General features: G+C 33.2%; 2 protein-coding genes across 17 annotated transcripts in view, besides 1 other annotated feature; one reads left to right on the top strand and one right to left on the bottom strand.

Moving 5' to 3' along the window:
* The window catches only part of OSMR (oncostatin M receptor), a 99,568-nt gene extending 90,221 nt beyond the window's left edge, over positions 1-9,347 (top strand). For 3 of the 6 annotated variants that reach the window (XR_925661.1, XR_007058659.1, XR_007058660.1), the window contains exons 18-19: positions 7,969-8,087; positions 8,986-9,347. Coding sequence is in view for 3 of the 6 variants with exons in the window: in XM_011514161.3 (XP_011512463.1) it covers positions 7,969-8,001 (33 nt within the window). In the remaining 3 variants the exon portion in view is untranslated. Of the gene's footprint in view, positions 1-7,968 lie in introns of all 6 variants that reach the window. The other 3 variants (XM_011514161.3, XM_017010019.2, XM_047417872.1) reach the window with 1 other exon arrangement.
* The window catches only part of RICTOR (RPTOR independent companion of MTOR complex 2), a 136,480-nt gene continuing 112,612 nt past the window's right edge, over positions 1,688-25,555 (bottom strand). For 4 of the 11 annotated variants that reach the window (NM_001438246.1, NM_001285439.2, XM_047417068.1 and 1 more), the window contains 20 exons: positions 24,166-24,301; positions 23,547-23,746; positions 22,963-23,089; positions 22,435-22,599; positions 22,211-22,287; positions 21,420-21,498; positions 19,363-19,472; positions 18,542-18,629; positions 17,229-17,321; positions 16,753-16,859; positions 15,964-16,193; positions 13,480-14,488; positions 13,124-13,195; positions 11,032-11,209; positions 10,236-10,320; positions 9,259-9,492; positions 8,681-8,836; positions 8,214-8,337; positions 6,601-6,739; positions 1,688-6,146 (listed from right to left, as the gene is read on the bottom strand). In NM_001438246.1, coding sequence (NP_001425175.1) covers positions 6,072-6,146; positions 6,601-6,739; positions 8,214-8,337; positions 8,681-8,836; positions 9,259-9,492; positions 10,236-10,320; positions 11,032-11,209; positions 13,124-13,195; positions 13,480-14,488; positions 15,964-16,193; positions 16,753-16,859; positions 17,229-17,321; positions 18,542-18,629; positions 19,363-19,472; positions 21,420-21,498; positions 22,211-22,287; positions 22,435-22,599; positions 22,963-23,089; positions 23,547-23,746; positions 24,166-24,301 — 3,484 coding nt within the window. In that variant the 3' untranslated portion in view covers positions 1,688-6,071. The remainder of the gene's footprint in view (positions 6,147-6,600; positions 6,740-8,213; positions 8,338-8,680; positions 8,837-9,258; positions 9,493-10,235; positions 10,321-11,031; positions 11,210-13,123; positions 13,196-13,479; positions 14,489-15,963; positions 16,194-16,752; positions 16,860-17,228; positions 17,322-18,541; positions 18,630-19,362; positions 19,473-21,419; positions 21,499-22,210; positions 22,288-22,434; positions 22,600-22,962; positions 23,090-23,546; positions 23,747-24,165; positions 24,302-25,555) is intronic. The other 7 variants (NM_001438249.1, NM_001285440.2, NM_001438248.1 and 4 more) reach the window with 3 other exon arrangements.
* Positions 12,451-12,620: an enhancer, noted in NCBI's record as "experimental_84768 CRE fragment used in MPRA reporter constructs". NCBI's record gives its function as "activates a minimal promoter by MPRAs in K562 erythroleukemia cells, with activity observed for both the introgressed and non-introgressed 5:38948870 variant alleles {active_cell/tissue: K562}" and the evidence as "EXISTENCE:reporter gene assay evidence [ECO:0000049][PMID:34662402]".

Consider the following 25,555-nt stretch of genomic DNA (forward strand, 5'->3'; position numbering starts at 1 on the left):
TCTCCTCACATTGTTTTGAAGCAAATCATGATATCATGATTTCATGTCAATATCTGAGTTCTCTAAATAAGCTCTACTTTTTCTAATAGTCATAATATTGTTAAAATTGCACCTAAAATCACAGTAATAATTCCTTAAAAAAAATCAATCAGGATATTTGGGTGGTGGATGGATGGGACTGGCATATATGGCCTTTACATCCTGCGTCAGCCTGTGCACGGTCCTCACCTGTGTGTGGGGGAACTCGACAATTCAAGATGGGAGTTGGGACCTCTTCACACAACAGTACGACTGCTGAAACGCTTCCTACATTCAAACACCTAACCCATACTAATTAGGGTCAACCTTGTTACCTACTAGAATGTGTATTGATGAAGAACGTCAAGACTTACTTAATAATATCTTCTTATTAAACACTTCTAAGAGTTCTGTTGAAAGATGATAAGCTTTCATCTCAAATAATTTACAAAGCATGTTAAAGCAGTCTGCATAAAGTAGAACTTTTAAAACTCTGGAAGAGAGAAAGTAGAAGACAGTTTTCACAACTTTCAGTTAAAATGTTTACAACACAATAGGTATATTCAATTTGAAAGCATAGTTGTTTTATTCCTCTAAGCATTAAGGAAAGTTGTTTTAGTATATTTTAGTTTCTTAAAATCAATACCGAAGTAGTACCGTATTTTTGAGTATTTTATATGCTAAAGTTTTAAAAATGAAACAATATTTTCCAAGTTCAGCTACATTAGGACTTTTTTAAAGGATCAGCGGCATGATGAATTTGTAAGTATGCTTTTTATTTCGGGGCCAACTACCTTTTTTTGAGACGGACTCTTGCTCTGTCGCCCAGGCTGGAGTGCAGTGGCACGATCTTGGCTCACTGCAAGCTCCGCCTCCCAGGTTCACACCATTCCCTGCCTCGGCCTCCCTGTAGCTGGGACTACAGGTGCCGGCCACCACGCCCGGCTGATTTTTTTGTATTTTTAGTAGAGACGGGGTTTCACTGTGTTAGCCAGGATGGTCTTGATCGCCTGACCTCGTGATCCTCCTGCCTTGGCTTCCCAAAGTGCTGGCGTTACAGGCGTGAGCCACCGCGCCCGGCCAAGAGGCCAACTATATTTTCAATGACATACACAGTGGAAGACATTGGGAAAAAATGATATACAGAAATTTGCCAAACTGTCCAAAACGTTTCTTGAAGTGAGACATACATTTTACCATATTTTATTAACAGACCCTAACTTCGACACTCAACTTTATCCTCCAGAATTGGTAATTTCTGTGTATGTTACTCTCTTTTGCCAGTAGGTAGCTGTAGGTAAGCTTATCCAATATCAGGGCAGTTTATGTGTGAGAAATCAAATACCTTCCACAGAGAAGTCACCACTGTCATATCATCATCACTCATATTGTACATTATTTCCTAAAAAAATTCAGAGCTATTCTATCTAAAGACTGACCCATTTTCCAAATCCCTTTAGATATTTAAAAAACTACAAAGATGTTTAATTATGAAGTGTTTAAGAAGAGTATTACTTTAAAATATTTGTAACAGCCACTCTACATGTCTGTGGTACCTAAAAGTCACTTTTGCTTGGAGTCACGTGTGTCAGCATCGGCATTACAGGACTCAAATCAAGGCCATATGACCACTGATTATTTTAAGATTTCAAATAAAACAATGACAAAGTTTAAGAATTTTAAGTACATTTTATTAACAATGTATCCCTTTGATAAGATTATGCTTCAGGAGGCTTTTAATGCCCTTGACATAAACTATACACATTATACAAAAACAAGAAAATCACAACAAAAAAAATCAAGGTGAGCAAAACCATTTGGGGACAAATCTTATTTAAATTATACACAACTCAATGAAATATTCTTACAGAAAAAATATAAATACTTTTTCTTTCTATGTTACAGTTATACAATATAAATCAGATTTCAATGTCTGTTCAGTGACCTACAAACACCAGAACCTCCAAATATGTAGCAGCGTATTACTAAATAAAAAAGAAGAAACTCATGTGGTTAGAGAGCATTAAGTCTGAGATTTTTTTCACAATTCCTTACCACTTTTCAAAACTAGTTTACACCATTTGTTTTACAATGCAGCTTTAGGGTTTCTGACAGGTATTTTTGTAACAATTACCTATAAAATTTTTTTCACTCCCCCTCTCTGCCCCAAGACTTTGCATTTTGTGCTAAATCAACCAAGTAGCAAAATTGAAAGGTATGCTTTTTTTGGCATAAATTATATTTTTGAAATTAAATATTCTATAAAGAAAGTAAAACAAAATGTGCAATTTATGCATGCTGTGGTGCAGCTATCCGATACTTACATTACAAAAATACTCCAAACAGGAAAAAAGTCCACATTCTGTGAGTCATATAAACCTACTAGGAATGAAAAATACCCTGGAACTTGGAACTAAAAGAAGAAAAGAATGCTCCTAGAAAGATTCTCACAGATTTCAGTGTTCTTTGATAAGCACTGCTATTAATTTCACTGGTATGCTTTTAAATGAGATTCTCACTGTAATGACACTCTTGAGATTAAGATAGTAACAGTGTATTTTGTTAATGCAGAGACAATGGAGACTTCCTAACTTACATTTTGGAAAATCTGAAATGTTGGTTCATTCCAAATAGCTCCTCTAACAAAAGTCTCTCAATTTTACCTTTTCTTTTTTCCCCATGTTTTAATGGATTGTGAATCTGAGACAAAAGTGGAAGCATAAGACTAAAGGAGAAAAAACCTTACTTCCAAAGAACATTTCCCAAAGTAGTTTACAAAGTTCATCTCACACAAAATTAGCACCTCACTCTTACCATGCAAAAATAACTGCAGTTATAATTTGAATGACAGACAATTTGGTTTTTATTGCTTAATGATCTGTGCTTTAATGTGGGGATAAAAGGCATCCTCTGAATGGAATAACATTTTATATAAATAGCAGTAGGAAAATGTAAATAAGCATTGATATCCCACTGCTGAACACTTGGCCGTTGTGATATGCCCTGAAAAACTCAGCTTGAATTATCTCAAGCTCTAGATAAAAGAGCTGAAACCCATTAAAGTTGTCATTTCAAAAGGACTTGTACACATTATGTTAATAATGTATATACTTCCAAAGAGCCTCTTTTAATGTCACTGTCATATAGAATGTCCATATTCTACTAATCGTTATTAGAAAAAATTTAATTAGGGAGAACAGACTGTTTCCCCCTTCCAATCTACCTAAGAATAAACAGGAAATAAAAGTATAGGAAATTTTAGAGCATATTTAATTATGAATACTAAATTTCTAATTTCCTTATTTATCAGTATTTACTTAGTATGTGAGGCTGAAATCTGTTCTTGAAAAAAAGTTCAATTAGAAATAACAATTCACTTTACGATTAGAAATTCATAGTTTACAACCAGCACAACTGCCCAGATTCCTCCCAATTATTCAATAATTACCAATAGTACAAATTTATATGGACTAAGATTAATCCTAAAATCTTTAAAAACTACAGTATTGACATTATTTTGGTATTCTATAGTCTGTAATATCTATTATTTATAGATGATTTTCTCAATTATTTCTATTACTGCTGATATCATTCCTAACCTCTTCTGCTATAATTTAATATTTTTAAACACTTAAGTTAATCACTTGGCACTGCATGTATTTTTCACCATAAAGTCTACTTTTTACAAACAAGTACTCAAAGAAAATGTATTAGACCTGTCAGTGAAATCATGGAGAAACCAAATAGCACTATAAATTTAAGCGTAGACTTTTTTTTTTTTTTAGTATACTGATAACCACAAAGCTCTGAGTATCTCCCCAAAGTAAGTGATATAGGCAGATATGATAAGGTATACATACATATTTTTCAAAGTAACAGTAAAAAAAAAAAACAAAAAAAAAAACACAAAACATTCAGGCCAATACTAACTAAGCCTTATTTCAGGATAGATGACCAAGGTGAGGGTACAGGGATAGTGATGGTGGGGGAGGGGGTGTGTGTGTGTGTAAGACAAAAAAAAAATTACTGTTAACTTTTGAGGGATTAAACCACAGATTTTTATACTCTATATTAACTGAGGTAGTGTTTAAAATGAATGTCTAAAATATGTTAATCCCATTATGAATAAGATTACATTACTTCCTTTGGAGGTTTTAACCACTATTTGGTCTAGTAACTCTGACATTTGGTTCTCTGGAAAGGCAGTTTAGTTATCCAAGACCAAAGACCACGATGACAGGCAACGTTCTTAGAAGTACTGTTGACATTTAAATAAACACTTGGGTTCAGTGATAAAGTATAAAAAAATTATTTATCTTCAACTGGATTTTATGAGAGAAAATCTGAAGAACCACTTTTCAACATAAGCAGCAGCTTACAGCCCTTATCTGCTTTGTTATAATGTAAGTTGCTACACAGTGCACATAAGAACAATTCACTGAAGTGCAGTCAAAGAGGTGTTATGAAGTGAGATGAAATGCTTCATCCCAACTGGAACTTTCAGTTCCAGTAAATAAATTTTTTAAAAAAGTATCTCTGTGAGTTATGTTTTCTAGTTCACAGGGTTCTTTACAGAGATCTCAAAGAACAAGCCCATTACAAAAAGGATCTGCATCATGGGAAAATATTAATGTTGCTATGACTGTGTCAAAACTGATGTGTAATTGTAATAAAAATGTTATACACAAATGAATTAAAAAAGAATCCTAATCAGTCCAGCTGGATTTTCTATTTCTATTTATATATAGATCTCAAAAAAGATAATCCTTTCATTTACAAGCATTCAAATGATGGCCATGCTATTTTTATATACAAATTTGCATATATGTTTAATTCCTGTAAAAAGTTCCAAATACCTTTAGACATATACAAATTAAACAAACAAAAACCTTGCCCTCATCAACTTAACTTCACAAATGGATAAAGGCAATTAATATACTCATAAACCCACCTACCACTGCATTTAGTTTGTGCAAAACAAAAACACTGATATAAAAATTAAGTTACTGCTGCTTTAAAATTTGGTACTTAAGGCTTTTCACTACAATTTTTCTCAATAACAAGCTTTATTAATGTTTTTTTTAAGGAAATATGGCTCTTCTTTCCCCATGGAATGTGTAAATTGCAAGCAAACTTATCTTTTCCTCAGGAGATCCAAAGTATTATTTAATGCTTTCCTATCCTTTAGGTCTAAACTAACAGTGCTTGTTCAAGTTCCTGTTTAAAGCGATGAGATGGAAAGTTGATGAAAGTGGAAGTCCATTGCAAATATATGCATTCTATAAATGGGAAATATTTTTAATTAAAATAAAAAATGATTTTTAAATTTTATTCAAGAACTGTAGTGAAAAACCTTAATTGGTTCATATATCCTGTAATAACACATTGCAACAAAATGAAGAGTTGGAAAACAAGAATCTTTATGCAAGTCTAGTAACATAAAAATAACTTATAAGTCCCGGGTTGTTGAGGCTCTTCTTCTGCTTTGAGGTTATAAACCTCTGAAGTAGTGTTACAAACATTAAGAAAAACGTGAAAGGGCCAAAGTTCCCTCTCTAATACCAGCAGTTATAGCACACCCCATTGTGGTAATAGGATGCAGCCTTAGAGACACTGATTCCTGCTTTCCACAAGTTAGTTAACAAACAAGGCATCTGTATTATTTACCCTAAAAATCATTCAGAAATAACTTGTGAAGGGTGCTTCTGCATATCCCATTATTGTTCCACTGTCATTATGCTTTTAAAATGAAAGAAAATAGAAAACCTATGTAGGTATTCAGTGCTTGGCTCTTGCATACAATGGTAACTGAAACTCTTAAAACTGTGGTAATGAATCATGAACCCCTCAAAAGGCTCAACAAAGGAGAGAAGGAAGTTGTTTTGGTTAGGAAAGTCAGCAGTTCCAACTGTTCATGTACCAGTAACTGCGGAACAGTGTACAGAAGATACTCCTGTCTTTGCTGCCTAGTCAGTCGTATTTTCTGAGGCTTTTAGGAAATCCACAAATATGAATATATATAGTATGTATCTATATCCATCATAAATATGAGGTCAGGATTCAGCAGATGTATCAACTATAGGTTGCTTTGGTGGTGTTGCCAACACAGCCTCTGCTTCTTCATGCATCTAGGGAAAAAATGGTGTATCATCAATTACTTTTATAAAAACAGATGATATAACATATTTATATAAATATCTAATTTTTTTTTTTTTTTGAGATAGGGTCTTGCTCAGTCTTCCCAGGATGCAGCACAATGTTGCCATCTTTGTTCATTGCAACCTCTGAGTCCTGGGTTCATATGATCCTCCCACCTCAGCCTCCCAAGTAGCTGGGAATACAGGCAGATGACACCAACCTCGGCTAATTAAAAAAAAAAAAAAACTGTGTTGACACGGTCTCACTATGTTGCCCAGGCTGGTCTTGAATTCCTGGGCTCAAGCAATTCTCCCGCGCTGACCCCACAAAGTGCTGGGATTGTAGGCATGAGTCACCACACCCAGCTATAATCTGTATTTTAATTCAATTCAAACACAGAATTATTCTTGGAAGATAAATTTGAGAAGTACTAATCATACTTACTTGTAGAAACTGTACATCTTGAAATAATTCTTGTATGAACCTCCGACACGGAAGTCTGAATGTGCAGTGTGACAGCAAATGGGAAACCTCAGAGTAAAGGCATATGTCATCAAATGTTTGAGGATACTTCTCCTTAATTCTAAAATAAAAGATTATGGTGTGATGAAAACTGTAATCATGATGTATCTATTTTTCCTCCAAGGTATCACTTACTTTAAAAATAGATTTCCCTACAGATATGGATTAGATGGCATACTTGGGGTGATGACTTGAGAATATAAAATATTAAATATTCCTGTCACACACTTAGACATTCTGAGTTTGGGTTTTTTTTTAAAAAAAATGATTATCAAAACCTGAATACTTCTTGTAAAATTGAAGCATTCTTTTTTATTGGCATGAGAAATTGCAAAATATATTTATCAGCCTAGGATGATTAAAATATGTTCCAAATTAAGTTTTAAAATAGAAATACATCTTTAAAGTTAAGTTATTAACATCCCTGACTGGGCTATTTCTTTGGATACTTCAAATAGCAGCTTTTAGCTAGGAAAGCACCTCAGAATCAGCTGTGAGTTGGGTGAGTGACCAGTTAAGGGCCCGCTCCCAGAGCTCCCAGCCCAGAGGTCTGCTGTGGGACCCTGATACCTATGTGGGACCCCAATACCTATATCACCCTTAAAAAAAAGCCCTACAGCTGGCTGGGCACGGTGGCTCATGCCTGTAATCCCAGCACTTTGGGAGGCTGAGACAGGAGATCACCTGAGGTCAGGAGTTTGAGACCAACCTGGCTAACCTGGCGAAACTCTGTTTCTACTAAAAATACAAAAATTAGCTAGGTGTGGTGGTACACACCTGTAATCCCAGCTACTTGGGAGGCTGAGGCAGGAGGATTGCTTGAACCCGGGAGGCAGAGGTTGCAGTGAGCCGAGATTGCACCACTGCACTCCAGCCTGGGTGACAGAGCAAGACTCCGTCTCAAAAAAGAAATACAAAATACAAAATAAAAAAGCCCTGCAGGAGACCCTGAGGTGCATTTCTTTTAAGAACCACTGCTTTAAATAATAAGAAAAAAATTAAACCAAGAAAATATGACTTGTTACATGTAAGCCCACTTTCCTCAAACTTTTTGGTCTCAGGACTTACTTTCTTAAAAATTACTGAAGACCCAAAAAAGCTTATTTTTGTGTGGGTTACAGCCACCATTAACTACTATATTAGAAATTAAAATTGAGAGAATTTCCTAACATGCATTAATTTATTTTAAAAATAAATCCATTACATGTTAACATGTATTTTAATAAAAATAACTGTATTTTCCAAAAGTAAAAAAGTGAGAAGAGTGGCATTATTTTACATTTTTTGCAGATCTCTTCAAAAGTCTGGCTTAATAGAAGATAGCTGGATTCTCATACTTGCTTCTACATTCAATCTGTTGCCATATGTTGTTTTGGCTGAAGTATTAAAGAAAATCTAGCCTCACACAGGTATGCAATGCAGTTTAGAACTACTGATGTAAGTTAACTAGCCTAACTTTTGAAGTATTTCAAGTATCTTTTCTCGACTTAAAAAACAGAATAAACAAATAATACTCATGCACATAGTTTACTCACGTTAAAAGCCCAGTCTCATGACATTTAGTTGAAACTGAACTACTCAAATTAATGACTAATCTTAGAACTTCTTTGCGAAGGAGTATACGGCACATTGGTGTATCATCTGGAATTGTTTTAACACCTGAAAAGATTTCAGGGAGAAGTTAAATATTATCTATGTCACAATAAAATGATTAAAACTCATGAAATTTATTTTTAAACTTCACCTAAAGACCTAGAGATCAATTACACATGATCTACCAATCATTTTGGGAGCAAAACTCTAATAAAAGCAGATAGCTAAGAGGCTCTATGTCAGTGGGTGATATAGGTGCAATAATTAACAGTGTTAAATTGCTTCACTAAAATGGACGTATTACTGTTTTGAGACAACTTTAATTTACAGTATTTACGAAAAACAAAACAAAACCAACTAATCAGAACAGTTTTACTAATAATGATTGGATTTGAATCTGAAGACTCACCTAGTAACAATTCTGTGCTTTTGGTGCTGCTAGCTGAGCCTTCTTGAGACACCCCATCACTGCATCCAGAAATCCCCGAAAACTTAGAGGGAACCACTTCTAAAGGATTATGGATAGTCTGCTCACACCAATCAGAATATGGAATATCTTGAAAGTCTGAAGAAAAAAATAATTATTTCAATTAAAGCACCATAACGGCTTAATTCCTGTGCTTACATTGCATGCTAAAAAGAAATAATATAAAATAACATCTTCTCTAATTGTATGCAATATACCAAACACTTCCAAAACTTTTTTCCTCATAGAAAATGAAAATAACTACAGCATGCAAAGGGCCTGGACAGGGCTGTTCACAGTGGAAAAGACCTAATCCAGGGATCTGTCAGACTCAGGCCCCACTGTGACCTGGAACCGTGAGAGGATCAGCATCTCAGCATAACATAATTTGGCATATCAGTGTGCTGCAGCTCACCAGCTGGGAAACTCTGAATTAGAATACCAAAAAGAAATTTGGAAAAGTAAACCAGAGAACTTTAGTCATCACTAGGTTTTTCTGAAGGTGGGACGTGATCACTTACCTGAATGACTACATATTGCACTCAGTTGGTTGCTGGGCTGGAAACCCAGAATTTCAATACAGACACAATAAAGGCAGTTATCATCTGTATGTTCCTGTAGTCCAGTGTCTTCTGTACTTTCTAAAAACAGAGAGGCATCTGAATGGATTGAATTCATTATTTCCGTAAGACTCATCTGCTGTCGTAGCAAGTGAAAAGAATTTTTTACAAGACCTCCAGTTCCAGATGGAAGACCTGTGCATAAGTAAATATAAAACATAATCCAATAAAGATAATACTTTTCAAGGTACCTTAAATTATGTGAAATTTTAAAGAAAGCTTAAGCACATTTTATGACTCAAAATCTAACTGGAAAGAAAAAAAGAATAATTTGCTTTAAGTTATAAAAATAAGGAAAGCCAGCAGATGTTTATTATTTTAATATATAGTGTTTTAAATACAAAATGGAAAATTGAGATTATATAATACATCATTTCAATTATCGTCAATATTTGCCTAAAGATATGTAATAATTCTAAGTATAAAGAGGCATTTGTTTAAAAAGTCATTAAGAATATAAAGCTATAAAACCTGTGGCTTATATTTACATATTAAAATATAACAGTTCAAAACAAAGACCGTGTATTTTATAAGTACATTTCTTTCTCCTTACTCTAAACAAACAGCTATTTCCTGGATCTATGAGGATTAGTGTTATACATTGTTCATGTGCTACTTTTAAAAAACAGAAACAACTAATTTGGTTTCTATTTCCTTGAAAGGTTGAGTACTTCACTGAAAACACTGTTAAGTCCCTCACACATACACAAAAATGTGGTTTAATTTTAAGCTGACTTTAACAATTGTTTTGGTATAATTTTAAAGTTGATCCAAAAGTGAGTCTTCCTAAATTTTTAGTGTTATCCTACTAGAAAGAACTAAGAGTTTTCTTTTTAATATAAAGAGGCATCTCACAAGTACAATGCACAATGCATTACCTCCTGCATCATGGGCAAATGCTCTTGCACCTCGATCATCATGTGGTGGTATGTTTTTTGTCTGAAAATAGGGAATATCCTTTACCTAAAAAAAGATATAAACCATGGTAAGTCCTGCTATAAAAATAAGCCCACTTTATGAAAATTAGCAAAATTAAACAAAATAAAATTAAAATAGAATTACCATAGCATATGAACCTATAATCAAGTTTACTGAAGGTTCAACTACCAAAACTTAACAAAATAACCCAAAAAGTCCTTATTATATTATTAGTGACTAAATGGACATTAATTATTTTAGCGTTTATCTAAAATGTCTTTCAACTTCTAAGAAAATGTGTTCTTTAGTACTATATACCATCTAGAGATCTGTGGGTATCTCCTGGGATTAGGGTCACCTTATATTACTGGGTACCACATATGGCTGGCTACCTTTTATGGGATAAATAGGAATGAGGATTTAAAAATGAGGTATAAGTTAAATGTGACTAAAAAACAAGTTAGAAATTTCATAAATTTCTACAGAGAATATATGGATAAAGAAATCAAATGAGATACTGATTTAATATGGGAAGAGAGGGAAGGATAATGTTCTAAGGACTAAATAAAAGAGTACAGAGTAGTTGAAAAGGGCAAAATAATTTTAATCTTAAAGTTTCTTTAAACAAAACGGTCTTAAAAATCATGCTGCCCCAAACTGGTGCCCACCCTAAATTATGATTTCTAGTAAGCAGTTACAGCATATGAAAAAATAGGAAACCAACTCATAGGAAAACAATAAAATGTATGATAATACCTGGAATATATCATTTATATCCACCGGGAGAGCAAGACCAATGTAATCATCTGAACCCCCATATGTGGCACTGGACACCATGGACCGCACTGAGGAAGATCGTTGCAGGGTATTTTGATTAATAGGACTCAATAAATCTTCTTTATCTAATGATGCATAACTTAAGGCTTTCATGAACCTATAAAACCATAAAGAAACCACTTGCATTAGTTTCTTGATCTGTAATTTTAATCATATGAAGAAATAACATATATTCCTACCTTCATAAAAGACAAGTAGCTAGTCATGTATTAAGCAGTGTCATCTTGTTTACTGGCAACACATAAACACTTTAAAATATTAGCTGTTATAGACCGCTATGTAAAAGGTCACCAGTAATGTTGACTGTTACCAAAAACAACTGTTATGGTCTCTCAGGTAAAGGTGAAAAGGTGGGCAATTAGAATAACTTTCAACATCTAGAAGTAAAAAAAGAAACTGACCTCAGTAGTCAGAGCATGGTCCAAGGACTATCTTCATAATCACTTGAGACTACTAGATTTGGCATTTATGTAACTAAGGATATGTGTATCAACTCTATTTAATATTATATTTATAAAAAATGAGATCAATTACATATCATTATTTGTGTGATAATTACCTTAATGCCTTCATTATCAACATAAGATTTATGTAGCACACAAGACAGACACAAGAGCAAAATGGTCATTTATGACGAGATATCCTTGTAAAAAGCACTGATATTTCCACAATGTACTGATATTTCCACAATGTACTCCTTACTACTAGAGATTCCATAACAAATATGATACACTGATATTTCCATAAGATACATGTTTCTCATACAGATTCTTACTTATGCAACAGACATGCTAAAATATTTACTTGGTATCTGCTGTATATATACAAGGCACTATGCAAGGTTCCACATTTATATACATTTATATGAAGATATTTTTGTTTGGAAAACCAAGTCTTTAAAATGTACGAATGCAGCCTAATATTAAATCAAATAATTATTTTGTAAAACACACAAAAGAAATGCTTTCTAAATAGTAGCTATTAACATAGCAAAAACCATGCTCCTAATTTCCACCCAAAAAACACTCTTTCAAACTGTAATCTGTTACATTTCTTTGGTTCCCATAAAACTCTTCAAGGATTACTGGAGTGGGAGGAAAACAATTATTGGATTATTCCCCTTCCCAATTCCTATTTCAACCAGTATAGGTCCCTTTCTATCTATTCTACCTATTGGGTTTCCACAGAAATCTTTATGTGAAAAAATAATTTCTCTGCTTAAAAAACAACAATACAAAAGTTTACAACCACTGATCTAGTGCAATCTCCACCAGATGAGGTAACTGAGGCTTAGGAATGTTCAAAATTCATGAACTTTACTGCATAGATTTGTAACAGTGAGCTGTTGAGAACTTTCCCTGGCTTTGTCCTGGACAAGGTTGCCAAAGCTAGTGAGTTCCAGATAGATGAGACATTGCTGCATAATTTCTTAAATCCTGTAAGGGTACACAATTCATTGTCTGCTACCAAGAAACCCTCTATTAAATGTGTTAAGCATTATTGAAACAAAACTGCTTAATGTTATTAAGAATAATGTAAGGGCTAGATGGATTACATTAAATAACTACCAATGATGATGATAAATAGCTAACTTTTATTGAGTGCTTAATATGTGCTAAAGTATTCTAACATATATTGTTGACATATAAGTACCTGACATATATTAATCCACTTAAATAAATGTAAATGAATAATTTAAAACTAAGGAAAGTTGTTTAGAAGCATTTGGTCCAACCACAAAAATTATAGGTACAAAATTTTTTTGCAGCAAATACTGTGTATCTTTTAAAAGTAAAATCTAAACTGTTCACTTTGACTAGCTTGATATAATCTAAATATGGTATAGAAATCCCTGCTGAGTCATGAGGACCAAGTATTTCATTTAGTGTTTATTAGGTTCCTATTTAATAATCACAGCTACTTAAAGTGAAAATAATTTCACTGAAATTTTCATTTATCTTTTTAAAAAAATAATAAAGAGGTCAACTTTTGGAGCCTTAAATTGACCTACCTGAAAAGGTTGTTTGTTATTGTAGGTCTTAAGCTCCTGATTCCCCCGACATGCTTCTTTTTAAAATCGATCCTTGCAGAAGCGAGAAATAAATAAAAAAAAGCTTGTGACTTGTATGTCCTTTGCAAAGCATGTATGTTTATTTTCAGGGCCTATAGGATTTTCTTCCCCCCTCGCAGCTGCAAGAATCCATTTCAAGTCATATCGGGTAACAAGGAGCTTATAGCCTACCATAGTAAACAATTATAATAGGTCAGTGATGAGGCTCACATAGTGTAAAACCTGGCTAACATTTTGTATTTAAATTTGTTAAAATGCAACCATTATTGGTCACTTCTAAACATATATTTGCTTACCTGCTTGGTGTTAATCTGGACTCAAAACTGTTGGCCTTCATGGTGATGGTATCAGTAAATAGCACATCTTTTGCTGGAGATGCCAAAGCTTCAGAGTGAGATAAGGATGGATGCATTCTTTGTTGCTGTAGTCTTTTCAGTGTAGCATAGCCAAAAGCATCTCTAGAACTTGTGTAACTAAAGTTACAATCTGCTAGACTTTTAATTGTAGCAATAGAGGGTGCTTTAAGGGACTGTGCTCTTCTAGGAAGCGTATGAGAAGAACCTGGAGGCACCAGGGACACCGAATTTGATTTGGAGAGAGACAGATGGTTAGACTGTGGCGTCAAATAGTGGCTTGTCTTAATAGTTTTAGTACTTACCACAGTACTCATGCTTCCACAGTCTGTGTCCATAGTTGTAGCATCTACACCTACTGTCTCTCGTGAAGGACTTGAGCTCATTGAACTTATGCCACTTGTTGTAGTGTCTGTATTGAAACTTTGGCTACGTATCTTCATATGTGAGCTCGTTGAACTTTCTACTACTAACCTCTCTCGGCTTGTATTTTCTCTGTGATTCTCTGTACCAAAATTCTTGGTGAATTTTAAGTCATTTTCTCCAATGCTTGGTGTACTACCAGTGTCTTCAATGTGCTTATTCCCCATAAATGAAGTCTCTAATTGTAATGTTTTCTGTACAGTGGATATGGGTGTAAAATCATCACTATGATTAAAATCAACACTGGGCTCCGTAAGTGTTCTGATTCGCCTGTTGCTTGTCTTACTTTCAGATGATAATTTCCCTCCTTTTGGATCACTGCTACTACGATGTTTTTTGTTAGGCAAAGTAAGCGAATTTAAGATACGATTCTTCACAAGTTTACTAGAAGCAAAGAAAGGGAATGAATTTTTATCCTTTATGGGTCCAGATCGGTCATAAAATGTTGGCTCTGTATCTTCATTGATATCAAGGAAAAATGTGCTAGTAGAGCTGCTGCCAAACCGGTCATCCTCCAATATGAACATACCTATGATTGAAGGATCAATTAATAAAAACACATATAAAATGACAAATTCATGATAACTATTAGTGACATCACATTTCAGGAAATTTTTTTTTAGTCATCTAGAGGAAAAAATTTAAAAATAAACGGTTAAACCATTCAGCTACTTGAAAATATCTTTCTTGAAACCCAGAGTTTGGACTTGAATAAAATGTAAAATTATGTAATTTATGAGAATCTCCTGTTATTTCCAAAGAAAAATTATTATAAGACCCACTATGGCACAGGTTACATGAAGTTTCTTTTGATTCTCCAAATATTCAGGATGAAATTAAAGGGAAAAAGGAGACTTGGCCATGGATGCTTACTCAATTACTACAGATTCCTAGTGGTTCTTCTTTAAATTACTATAAGCAGGAGAAATTCACCTTGTAAGAAATGAATTCCCAATCTTAAAATATACTTACAGAGAACCAAGTGGTAACATTATAAATTCATGTTTAAATTATGTTTATTTCTCATTTTACCTTAGATACTAAGAAACTCATTAAATTTAGTGCCCAATTCTACTAGAAGACGCAACCCAAGTGAGTGCCTAATGACATCTATACGATTTTTCTTTTATTAACTTTTCTGTTGAATAATTACAAATACTTCAAATATATTTTCAAAGAAGGTAAAAGAAAATCCTAAGTGAATTTGCATACTGCATTACCATTTCTATATTTTGTCAATTCTAAGATGCACACTTTTCACATTTAATCCCTTCTATTTTCACACAGAATCTGATTCTAAAATCAATATGCATCTTGTAGTATGTCCTAGTTTAATAGGCAGCACTTCTTCTTTCTTCTTCTTTTGTGGTACATAAAATATTGGCATATTTCATAATTCATGGCATCTCAGATTTGGTGAAATACACAGTCTGATAAAGCTGACACTATCTTCTTAAAAGGAAGAACCATGCCTTAAATTTTGTACACCTAACACCACTTAGCACAGGACTTAAAACCACAAATCATTTTATATATAACTATTTTTGTTACTCTATTAACAATTTCACTATTTTAAAATTTAGTGCTTCTCTCAAAAATGAAGATGTGAATATAATATCAGTTAAAAATATATTCTGGCTCAACAATCTCAGTATCTGAAAAATGAGTAAAAAGATTAAATAAAGAAGGTAGACAAATAAATACTTGTTATATTTGTTTCTTTTCTGTCAAAAAAAGGAGGACTGGTTCTTCTGGCACATGGCTTATTACATAACTTTGTAGGAATCCTCAAAAGCTACTTAGAATATAAGGAGAGAGAAAAATGTAAGCTGGTGATTATACTCTTTGTTATGAAAATATACACATTCTCCAAGAGGCTATTATTGCCAAATAATTATCTTAGACAAAAGCAAATTACAAATGTAACAAATACATTTAAATTCTAAAATTCAAATATAAATGTTAACATTGGCTAACTTTATATGAACCTGTCAGGATACTCACTCGATGGCACAGATTCACTTTCACTATTATGTCTAGAGCTGGTTGACTCCGAGTTCAAACTTAGAGTGCTTGGGATAGATGAAAGTTCATTACAGAGTTGTTCCACATCATCTGGAACCACTGGCCACAGATGTTTGCGACTATGCCTCACAGCATCCCAGTTGTGACATTTTAGAATATCACAGCCTTGTTTGGTTTTAGCTATGAGCCCAAGTACATATACACAGGTCCTGTATATAAAAGATGCAGTAAAAACAGTTATAATTCCAAGCTGAGATTTCTTAAAGCCACCACAGATTAATTTGCTATACATACTTTGAACTTTCTCTAAAACCCACCAAAATGGTTGCGTTTGTGGAAAAAAAAAAACTTATTAAGACTAGTCAGGAATAAATTAGCAGCAATAAAAAACAAGCAAACCTTCCCAATAAAAATAGTAATTACAACAAAATAAAAAGAACACAATGCAACATGAGCAAAAAAGGTATATTAGCTTTTCTAGTATAAATCTGGAACAGCTGGGTTACAGGAATACTGGAGTATCTGTACAACACTATGCCTTACCTGTTACCTACAAGGTAAACTTCAATATAATAAAAATCAAATTATAGTAGTAAACAAGGAGTTCGTTTAGATGTTTAACTTAATACAGTTAATAATCTTGTATCATTAGAACTTTCAGTGGATTAACAGTTATGCATTGCACTTAATCATAAAATACTTTCCCCTAACATCCATTTGTGAATAACAACGTCTACATTAGAAAGATTTCTGAGTTAAATGACCTACCCTCTGATGGAAAGAACTTCACACTGTTTTGCAAGTTTTAGTATATCTGGAATCACGTTTTCTTCCTGTAGCAAATTGAGACCCCAATTTGATGAGCCGATATTTCCCTGAAAGAAAAGAAATCACTTACATCAAATATAAGAGTCACTCTTTCAAAAGATTTGGAAAGCTACCAAGAAACAAATTTAACCTCATCTCTGAGAGAGAAAAAATGTAAAAGCCTCCTCAAGTACAAAACATTAGGCATGAATTAATTCTAGTTGTCTTAGCAACAAAACAAAAGTCATGAAACCAATAGTTCAACCATCTATTCTTCAACATAGAGATAATACACTTATATTGGCAGGAACAATCCAGTCTTAAATATTAATCTAATAAGTAGTTCCAAAGAAAATATTTATCTATTTAGTATAAATGAAAAAAAAACTTAAAAATCTAAAAATTGCGAAGATCTTACAGAAGTGTTTATTACAAACCAAGGCCCAAAGAGATGCTTTCAGTTTTTTAATTTCTTCCCACTTATCCAAATCTGGTGTACGAACATTACGACAGAGTTCTGTAATAATATTCTGGAGAAAGAAAAAAAAATACCATGAGTAATAATATATTTATGTATTTAATATATTATTATTGCATCATAAAACCAGTATAACGTTTGTTTTTTGTCATTTTTGCATATTTAAATTCTAAATAATTTTATGTAAAATTTCTTGAGAAGCAGCATAGGGCAGGGGTTCTGAATTCACATTCTAGAATTATCACTTATTAACTGCATGGCCTTGGGCAAGTTACTTCATCTCCTCATCCTTTGATTTCCTAATATCTAGAAGAGTGATAATAACATTTGCATCATAAGGTTTCAAGATTTAATAAATTATTGCACATACAGTGCTTACCAAAGTACTTGGCACTTAGTATTACTAAATAATCATACTTATTCTTTAAAACAGAAAGTAAATTAGTGCTTAGGTTTTATCATACTATGTAAGTAGTAACACTGAGAAAATCATTTAAATTTTTAGTGAAATTTTCAAATGTTAATATGAAAATACTTGTCCCAACAGTTTTCACAGACGTAATATAAAAACACATGAAACTATAGAGTACATTTATGCAAAACTTTGTGCTCTTGAGATGAATACTGATACAATCGGGAACTAAATTGTTAAATAACTATTGTTCTGTCACAAAAACAAATATTCCTATAACTTTATTTCTAAAATAAGAGAAACGTTACATTTATTGGAAACAGTTGCATGACATATTCACAACCATAAATGCGGTGTACATATTATAACTCAAAGAACAACTGCTTGCCTATGCTTGTTAACATTCCATGAAGTACGCGAGAATAAAATGTGCTCACAACCAGCAACTTTCAATTTATTGCTCAACAAGGATAACTTAATCTGTATTAGGTTCAGTTTAATTTCCCAATGAGTGGAAGAAAAACTCGGTTTTTCAGTACGTTTTTGGAGATCTGAATTTCTCCACTAAACTCTAAAAAAAGAACTCAGATCTTCATTGGATTGCTTACTCTACATAACAAGTTAGTTATTCAAAAAGTCATACACAAGTCAGTTAATGCATTGCAAGGCCATTAATATTTCTCAGGTTAATAAATATAGAATGCCTAAGTCAATTACAAAATAGATGAATTTAAAAGCAATTACACCACTGATATTAAAGCTTTTGAGAAGTTTTTGCAAAGGTAATATTTTAGCAATGTTAAGATTTTGTTTTTTTTTTACTATTGTAGCTACTTAAAATAAGTGAATTATGTTTTTACCTGTACTTCCAACAAATGGCAGCCTGTTTTATGGTGTACTAGTTGTCCATAAAGGTGTATAGGCAGGTAGACGTGAGGACGCTGTAATCTAGTATAATAAAGATGATTACTATATCTCTTGGCTAATTTAAATATGCTAATTAGAACAAAAGAATTTTAATAAATGTTTGATAAATAAAATTAGATACAACTCTCCAGCATAAATAAAAATATGAAAGTAACAAGGAATGAGGATTTCTCAGGTAAAATATAGGCTGGGCTTCCCTAATCCAAAATGATCCAAAATCCAAAACTTTTTGAGCACTGACATGACACTGTAAGTGGAAAATTCCACACATTAGTATTTAATGCAAACTATTTCATACAGAAAATTACTTATAACACTGCATAAAATTATGTTTAGGCTACGTGTATAAGGCGTATATGAAACAGATTAATTTCATGTTTAGACTTGGGTACCATTCCCAAGGTATCTCGTTATATATATGCAAATATTCCAAATCTGAAAAAATCTGAAATGCGAAACATTTCATCATTTTGGATAAGTGATGTTCAACCTGTAACAGTTTATCAGAGCTCAAAGTACTGGTAAGAGAATCTAGGCCTAGAAATACAGACTGGGGTGCCAGCATGGAGTATATGTGAATGCGTTATCAGTAAGGATATTCAACATGCCATGAATGCCACTGAATTTTTGAGCAATTAATGCTGCGCATTAAGATTCTTCCTATATCATGTTAGAAGCAGAATATACAAAAACTCAGAAATGTTAAAAATAATTTATGATGAACTAGTTTTAAATCTGATAACTGGGTACGCACCTTTGGTTACTCCGACGAACATAGTTATCACCATCAACAGGCTTCCGGTAAGTAGTAAGTGCTTCATTGAGTTGTTCCTCAATCAAGTCAACATATTTGGAGTTGTATTCCTAGAGGATAATATTGTTTTAATTGCACATAGTATCACAATGAGTCACTAAATTTAAAATATGTCAGATACTTAGCAAAGGGTAGACAGATCAAGGTATTATGAATGCAAATGTTCTATCATATCCATAAGCTTTTGGCTCAGGTTTCAACTAGTACTATATACTAATGACCCCCATATCTGCCATTTTCCTCACAAATCTGAGCTCCAGATCCACATTTTCAAGCCATCACGTGGTTACTGCACAGACAATGCCAGTTCAACATATTGAAAATTCATTAGCCTAATCTTGAATCACTTTTTATAAATGTGATCTCTTAATAGTGATCCATTATATATTGTCATTAAATTAGAAACCTTATGAGCCAAGTTGGACCTCTTATTTACTGTATCCAATCAGCCCACAAATTCTGTCCATCTTATTTTGAAAATACCCAGAAAATGCGTCCTCATCTAATCAACCTAACTACCAGTGAAGTTCAGGCACTCATCAATTCTTGTTTCTAAACTTGTGTCAATATTTCTAGACTTTACCTTCAATGATCAAAATTCCTCCTCTTCACTGCAACCTGTCAGATTACTAAAGCACAACTCTGATCACTCTTTAAAAGCTGTTAAGGATTCCCCACTATATATACAATTGAAATCCCTTAGGATGATATAATATGGCTTACGAGGCCTTTTACAATCTAGCTTTAATTTACCATTCCAGCCTCATCTTGCCACTCCACACTTACCTTAGTTCCAACTACATTGGAATATGACTTTCTTCATAAGTCTATAATGTTCCAATGATCTATACAGCTTTATTCTGCTCCTTCTTCCGTGGATACCCTTCTTCTAATTTATTTGCCTACTTACTCCTCAAGACCATTTCAAGTATCACATCTACGGCTCCTATTCAACATTTCTTTTGATAATCCCTAAGGCAGAATCATTAATCTCTCCTCTGTGTTCCCTTATACCTTGCATGTAACTTTGTTATAGCTCTTATATTTTATGCTATTTTCAAGCACTGCACCAATATTCTAAGCAATTTTCTAATACTATGATTTGTATAATAAATTTTATTATGATGATTTAAATATCTTCTAGGAAACAAACCTATCACATCTTGTCTCAGTTCTACAATTCATCAAATACTAAAAGACTTCATGCCTTAAGTTGTATGCTTGGAAGTTTTAGTCCATTTAAGGAGTATCTCTTATGAAATATGGTTCAATATAGACACTATAAAAGAATGTGTAACTATGTTAACAAAAAAGAGAAAACAGGATAACTGATCTGAAATGATGAAAAATCTAAAAATCATTTATATCGGTAAAGATCATTTTGACCATGGGTTTCCAAGATGCTTCGATGACTTATAATACTTCAAACAAAATAATGAAGCCACAGCAATCACCAGCTAAAGAAAAGCTAGAAAAGTTGTTTCATATCTTCAAACTACTCCCTTCTTAGCAGGTTTCCCTATGACAGCAAGAAGTTCATTCTCAGATTTAGGTAAAGTAGTATCCTAAAGTAAAGTTTAACTAAATGATTATATCTCCTTGGGATTTCAATCTCCCTTCATTTAAAAAAATTATTTTGGTTTTAGCTTAAAGGGCTCATGCAAAGTTGTAGGCCATATTAAGGGACCGAAGAATGAAAGAAATGATAAACAGGGCCAAAAATTAGATTATAAAATCAAATGAGTTGAGAGTCAAATTTCAATAGAACGAATACAGTCAACAGTTCAGAATGAAAGAAATAACTGTAGTTTAAAAAAATGTATAACTATAAATACTAGCAATTATGCAGAATTTAGGATTCAACTTGATATTGATGTTTAAATATTTAACCTTATTAATTTCAAAACACTGATATAAAAAAACCATCCTCTAAATTCACAAATCAATTTCAGAAGATAAAAACACACAAATTCAACTTTATTCAAATAAGAAGTTACCCTGTGCCACTTTTCCAATTGTTTTGCTACATAACCTCTTTCATTCAGATAGGAAAATCCTTTTGGAATGGAGAGAAATCTGCAAATTAAAACAAGCAATAGTTTAACATTGAGTCTGGCAAAAACGTATCTTAAGAAGCTAAAATAACTAAAATTTAAAAAAGTATAAGGAGCTAAAAGACTTTAGGAATAGTTCGTTCCTAAAACTAAAAGGTCAACTATAATTTATTATAACTTCAATTACAAATAAATTTTCACAATCTTTGCAACAACACGCGAACCCAATCACAATAAAGAAAATGTCAGCCAGGCACGGGGGCTCACGCCTGTAATTCCAGCACTGTGGGAGGCCAAGGTGAGTGGATCACCTGGTCAAGAGTTCAAGACCAGCCTGGCCAACATGGTGAAACTCCAACTCTACTAAAAATACAAAAAATTAGCTGGGCGTGGTGGTGTGCGCCTTTAGTCCCAGCTACTTGGGAGGCTGAGGCAGGAGAATCACTTGAACTTGGGAGGCAGTGGTTGCATCGAGCCAACATTGGACCATTGCACTCTGGCCTGGATGACAAAGCGAGGCCGTCTCAATAAAAAAAAGGAAAATGTCATGAAAAGTATGAACAGACCAAAAAAATTAAAAAAAAAGAAAAACCCAAAATAATGAAAAGACAATGTTTCAATATTAAAAGGTAAACTCTTCAGCGTACTTCCCATTTGGATTTGAATCTATCTTTAATATACACTGCCAAAGAACACAACAAAAAAACATAACAGAAAATTTACTTAAAATTTACCTCAGCAGGAGAAGCAAACCCTTGTCTCCAAGGTGGGATAACGCTGGTTTCATCTGAATGAGAGCATGAAGATTGGCCTAAAAGAGATTATCATTATTTTTTTATAATTGCACAAAAATAGCAAAATTTTTAGTTCCAAAATGCCTATTATATACTTTTACATAATTGTCAAATGAGTATTTCAAAAAAATTTAAGTATTAAATTATAAAAAATGAACCTTTACCTTGTCTTCACATGCTTCATCGAGGATATCAAGAGCTTCAGAGGAAATCGTTTTGTTTTTATCATGTAGCTGGGTCACTAACAACTCAATTCCCCAATTATTAAAGAATTCAACATTAGCTCTCAATAATACCCTTAAATGTTTTGTTGCATAGAGTCTGCAGGCCTATAAGGATAAATGAATACATTAAAAAAAAAAAAAACTTCAGCATAAATAGCCTATTTGATTTTATTTTGGGATAGTCCTGCTACTTGAAAAGGGAAGAATGCCTGGAATTGGTGGTCTAGCCCTTGATATGAATACTTTTTTGGTTCTTGTGAAATAGAATACTTCCCTTTCTATCTAGCAGCTTCTTCCCCCGATACAAAAATCTGAGTACTATATGCAGTTCCTTGGAGAAACTAAAATTTTAAAGTAAACTCAATTTCCATATCATATTCTTAGAACTTAATTTTACTTAGCCCAAAATTCATAAAGTAGTGAATTAATTGGTTATAAATATAGTTTTACTGGCTATGTTATACTCACATCAGTAGCTGCAGTTAAAATTTTGGAAAGGATGACTCTAGCCAATCCATCTCTGCTATAGTCCAAGCTAGAAACAGTAAGTTTTAGCAAGTGATCTTGGTTTTTCAAGGAGCAAAGATTAAGGAGACTTAAAAGAAAAAAAAAATAAGAATGGTTAAAAGAAATTACTATATTGATACATTAATTAAACAAATATTTTTTCCAGCTTTACTGAAGTATAAATGACAAATAAAAATTGTATTATTCAAAGTGTATAACTTGATTTGATATACACATACATTGTGAAGATTACCACAATCAATGAACACATCAATCATCATACATAGTTACTATTTTGAATGCTGGAGTGGGAAGAGCATGAAGTCAATTCAACGTATATTTTTAAAATTCCTAATATAAACAAGCTTTTTGGAAAGAAAGCATTTAATAACAACAATTTTAAAAAGAATATTAAAGCAAAGATAATGCTAATTTAAAATAAAACTTAACCAAACACATGTACACAGAATAAAAAGCATACCATATCTAACTACATTAAAAATAAAGTTCATGTATATATTGCAACAAAATCTGGGAATGCTCACCACTGAAATACACTGCATTTTTCCAGCATTTTAACTCCATGAGGGTGGCAAGAAAGTGTTCCAATAAATAAAAAGTAGTGTTGACTAAGGGTGGTCAATAAACCATTATTTTGAAGACTTCTTTCGGGTTTCATTCCAGATGAAGCATTGAGCCACTGAACAATATCCTTTACTAGATCTTCTAAGTAGCCTTGCCCATCCTAAAAGTAAATACATTGTGATATTGTGAGAAAAGCATTCAAAATCTGTAATTAGAAAATCAACTTCAATCAAGTACAAAAACTTACTAATAATGATGAAGTTACCAATAATAGCTATCAATCAGTGAGTACCTGTTGTTTTCTAATCCACTTCAACACAATGCTGCATGGAGATGATATTATTCTCCATTTTACAGAAGAGTAAACCAGGTTTTCTAGAGGGCAGATAACTTGCCCAGTCTCATAACTAGTGACTAAGTCGGGATTCAACTCTAGGTCTGGGATCATTTCTTATGTTTCCAAATACGGCTTATGCATATTCAGAAATAAAAGCAAAACACAAGGTGGAAACAGAGGGAGGGTAAGGGAAGCAAATTCAATAAAAAACATTTGCTCTGGAAAATATTCAGAATGCCCACCTCTTCAGATTCAAGAAGAAATTCTGTAAACTGGCAACCTACAACCGTGAGCTGTTTGGCCTTGGCAAAATCCAGATCCAGGTTGGCATATAATTTACTGCTGGGCTTGTAAAAATAAAGTAGTCTTCGTACAAACCTAAAATCAAAACACAAGTAGCAAAAAGGTAAGAAATGAAGCAATTATTTTAGAATCTTAACCATTACTTATGACATAATAAGGCTTTCAGAATATGTTTTGGGTCTGAACCATTGGGATAAATGGCAAGAAATGTATTAAAAGTGTTTGGTACATGATATGGTCTGCCTGTGCCCCCACCCAAATCTCACCTTGAATTGTAGTTCCCATAATCCCCACATGTCATGAAAGGGACCTCATGAGAGGAGATAAGATTATGGGGGCGGTTACCCTTATGCTGTTCTCGTGACAGTGAGTGAGTTCTCACATCTGATGGTTTTATCACCAGCTTTTCCCCCTGTGCTCTGTACTTCTCTCTCCTGCTGCCATATGAAGAAGGATATGTTTGCTTCCCCTTCTGCCACAATTATGTTTCCTGAGGCCTCCCTAGCCATGTGGAATTGTGAGTCAATTAAACCTCTTTCCTTTATAGGTAATTTCTATATTATCTGTAGAGGCAGTTATAAATAACTGCCAGTCTCAGGCAGTGATTTATAGCAGCATGAGAATGGACTAATACAGTACATTTCATACCAAAAAAAACCCCAAAAACCAAGCAAACAAAAAACCTTCATTTAAAAAAAAATCTCTGTGGAGTAAGAATTTTATGGTGAGATGGTTAGAAAAAATAAAGGAGAAGAAAGATGCTAGATGGATGAATGCAGATTTAACATAGCTAGAATATAAAAATTTGATAAATGAGGATGTCACCTGAACTTAAATTTTCTTCTATTGTATTCATGAAGAACTTTGTCCCATGGCTCAATAATGTTCTATTGTTAAGATAATAATTGTAAGATACTACACTATGATTTTGTTGGTTTTTCACAATTAGGCAAAAGGTCAAGCATGAAAGTTGCAATTTAGGCCAATGAATTTATAGACATAATTTATGATCTTTCAACATTATATCTTTCAACATTATGTTCTAAGCTTCTACTGAATTTAGTTCAGTTCAATTTCATGCACTACAATTCAATCCAATAGAGGTGTCCAATCCAGGAGCTGGGAAAACAAAGTTGAGTAAGACATCATCTGTGTTCTCAAGGAGTATAAAAAGTTAGTACTATGCTTTTTTATTTCAGTGCAATTTATAAGTTATCTTTATTTCTTAAAACTTTTATAGATATTAGGTTACATATCATGAATACAGAATGCAATCAAATAATAATGTTAATGACATGAATTTCTCAAACATACTAAGGACCTCTTTCT

Source organism: Homo sapiens, chromosome 5 (assembly GCF_000001405.40).
Source record: "Homo sapiens chromosome 5, GRCh38.p14 Primary Assembly".
NCBI classification, from domain to species: domain Eukaryota; kingdom Metazoa; phylum Chordata; class Mammalia; order Primates; family Hominidae; genus Homo; species Homo sapiens.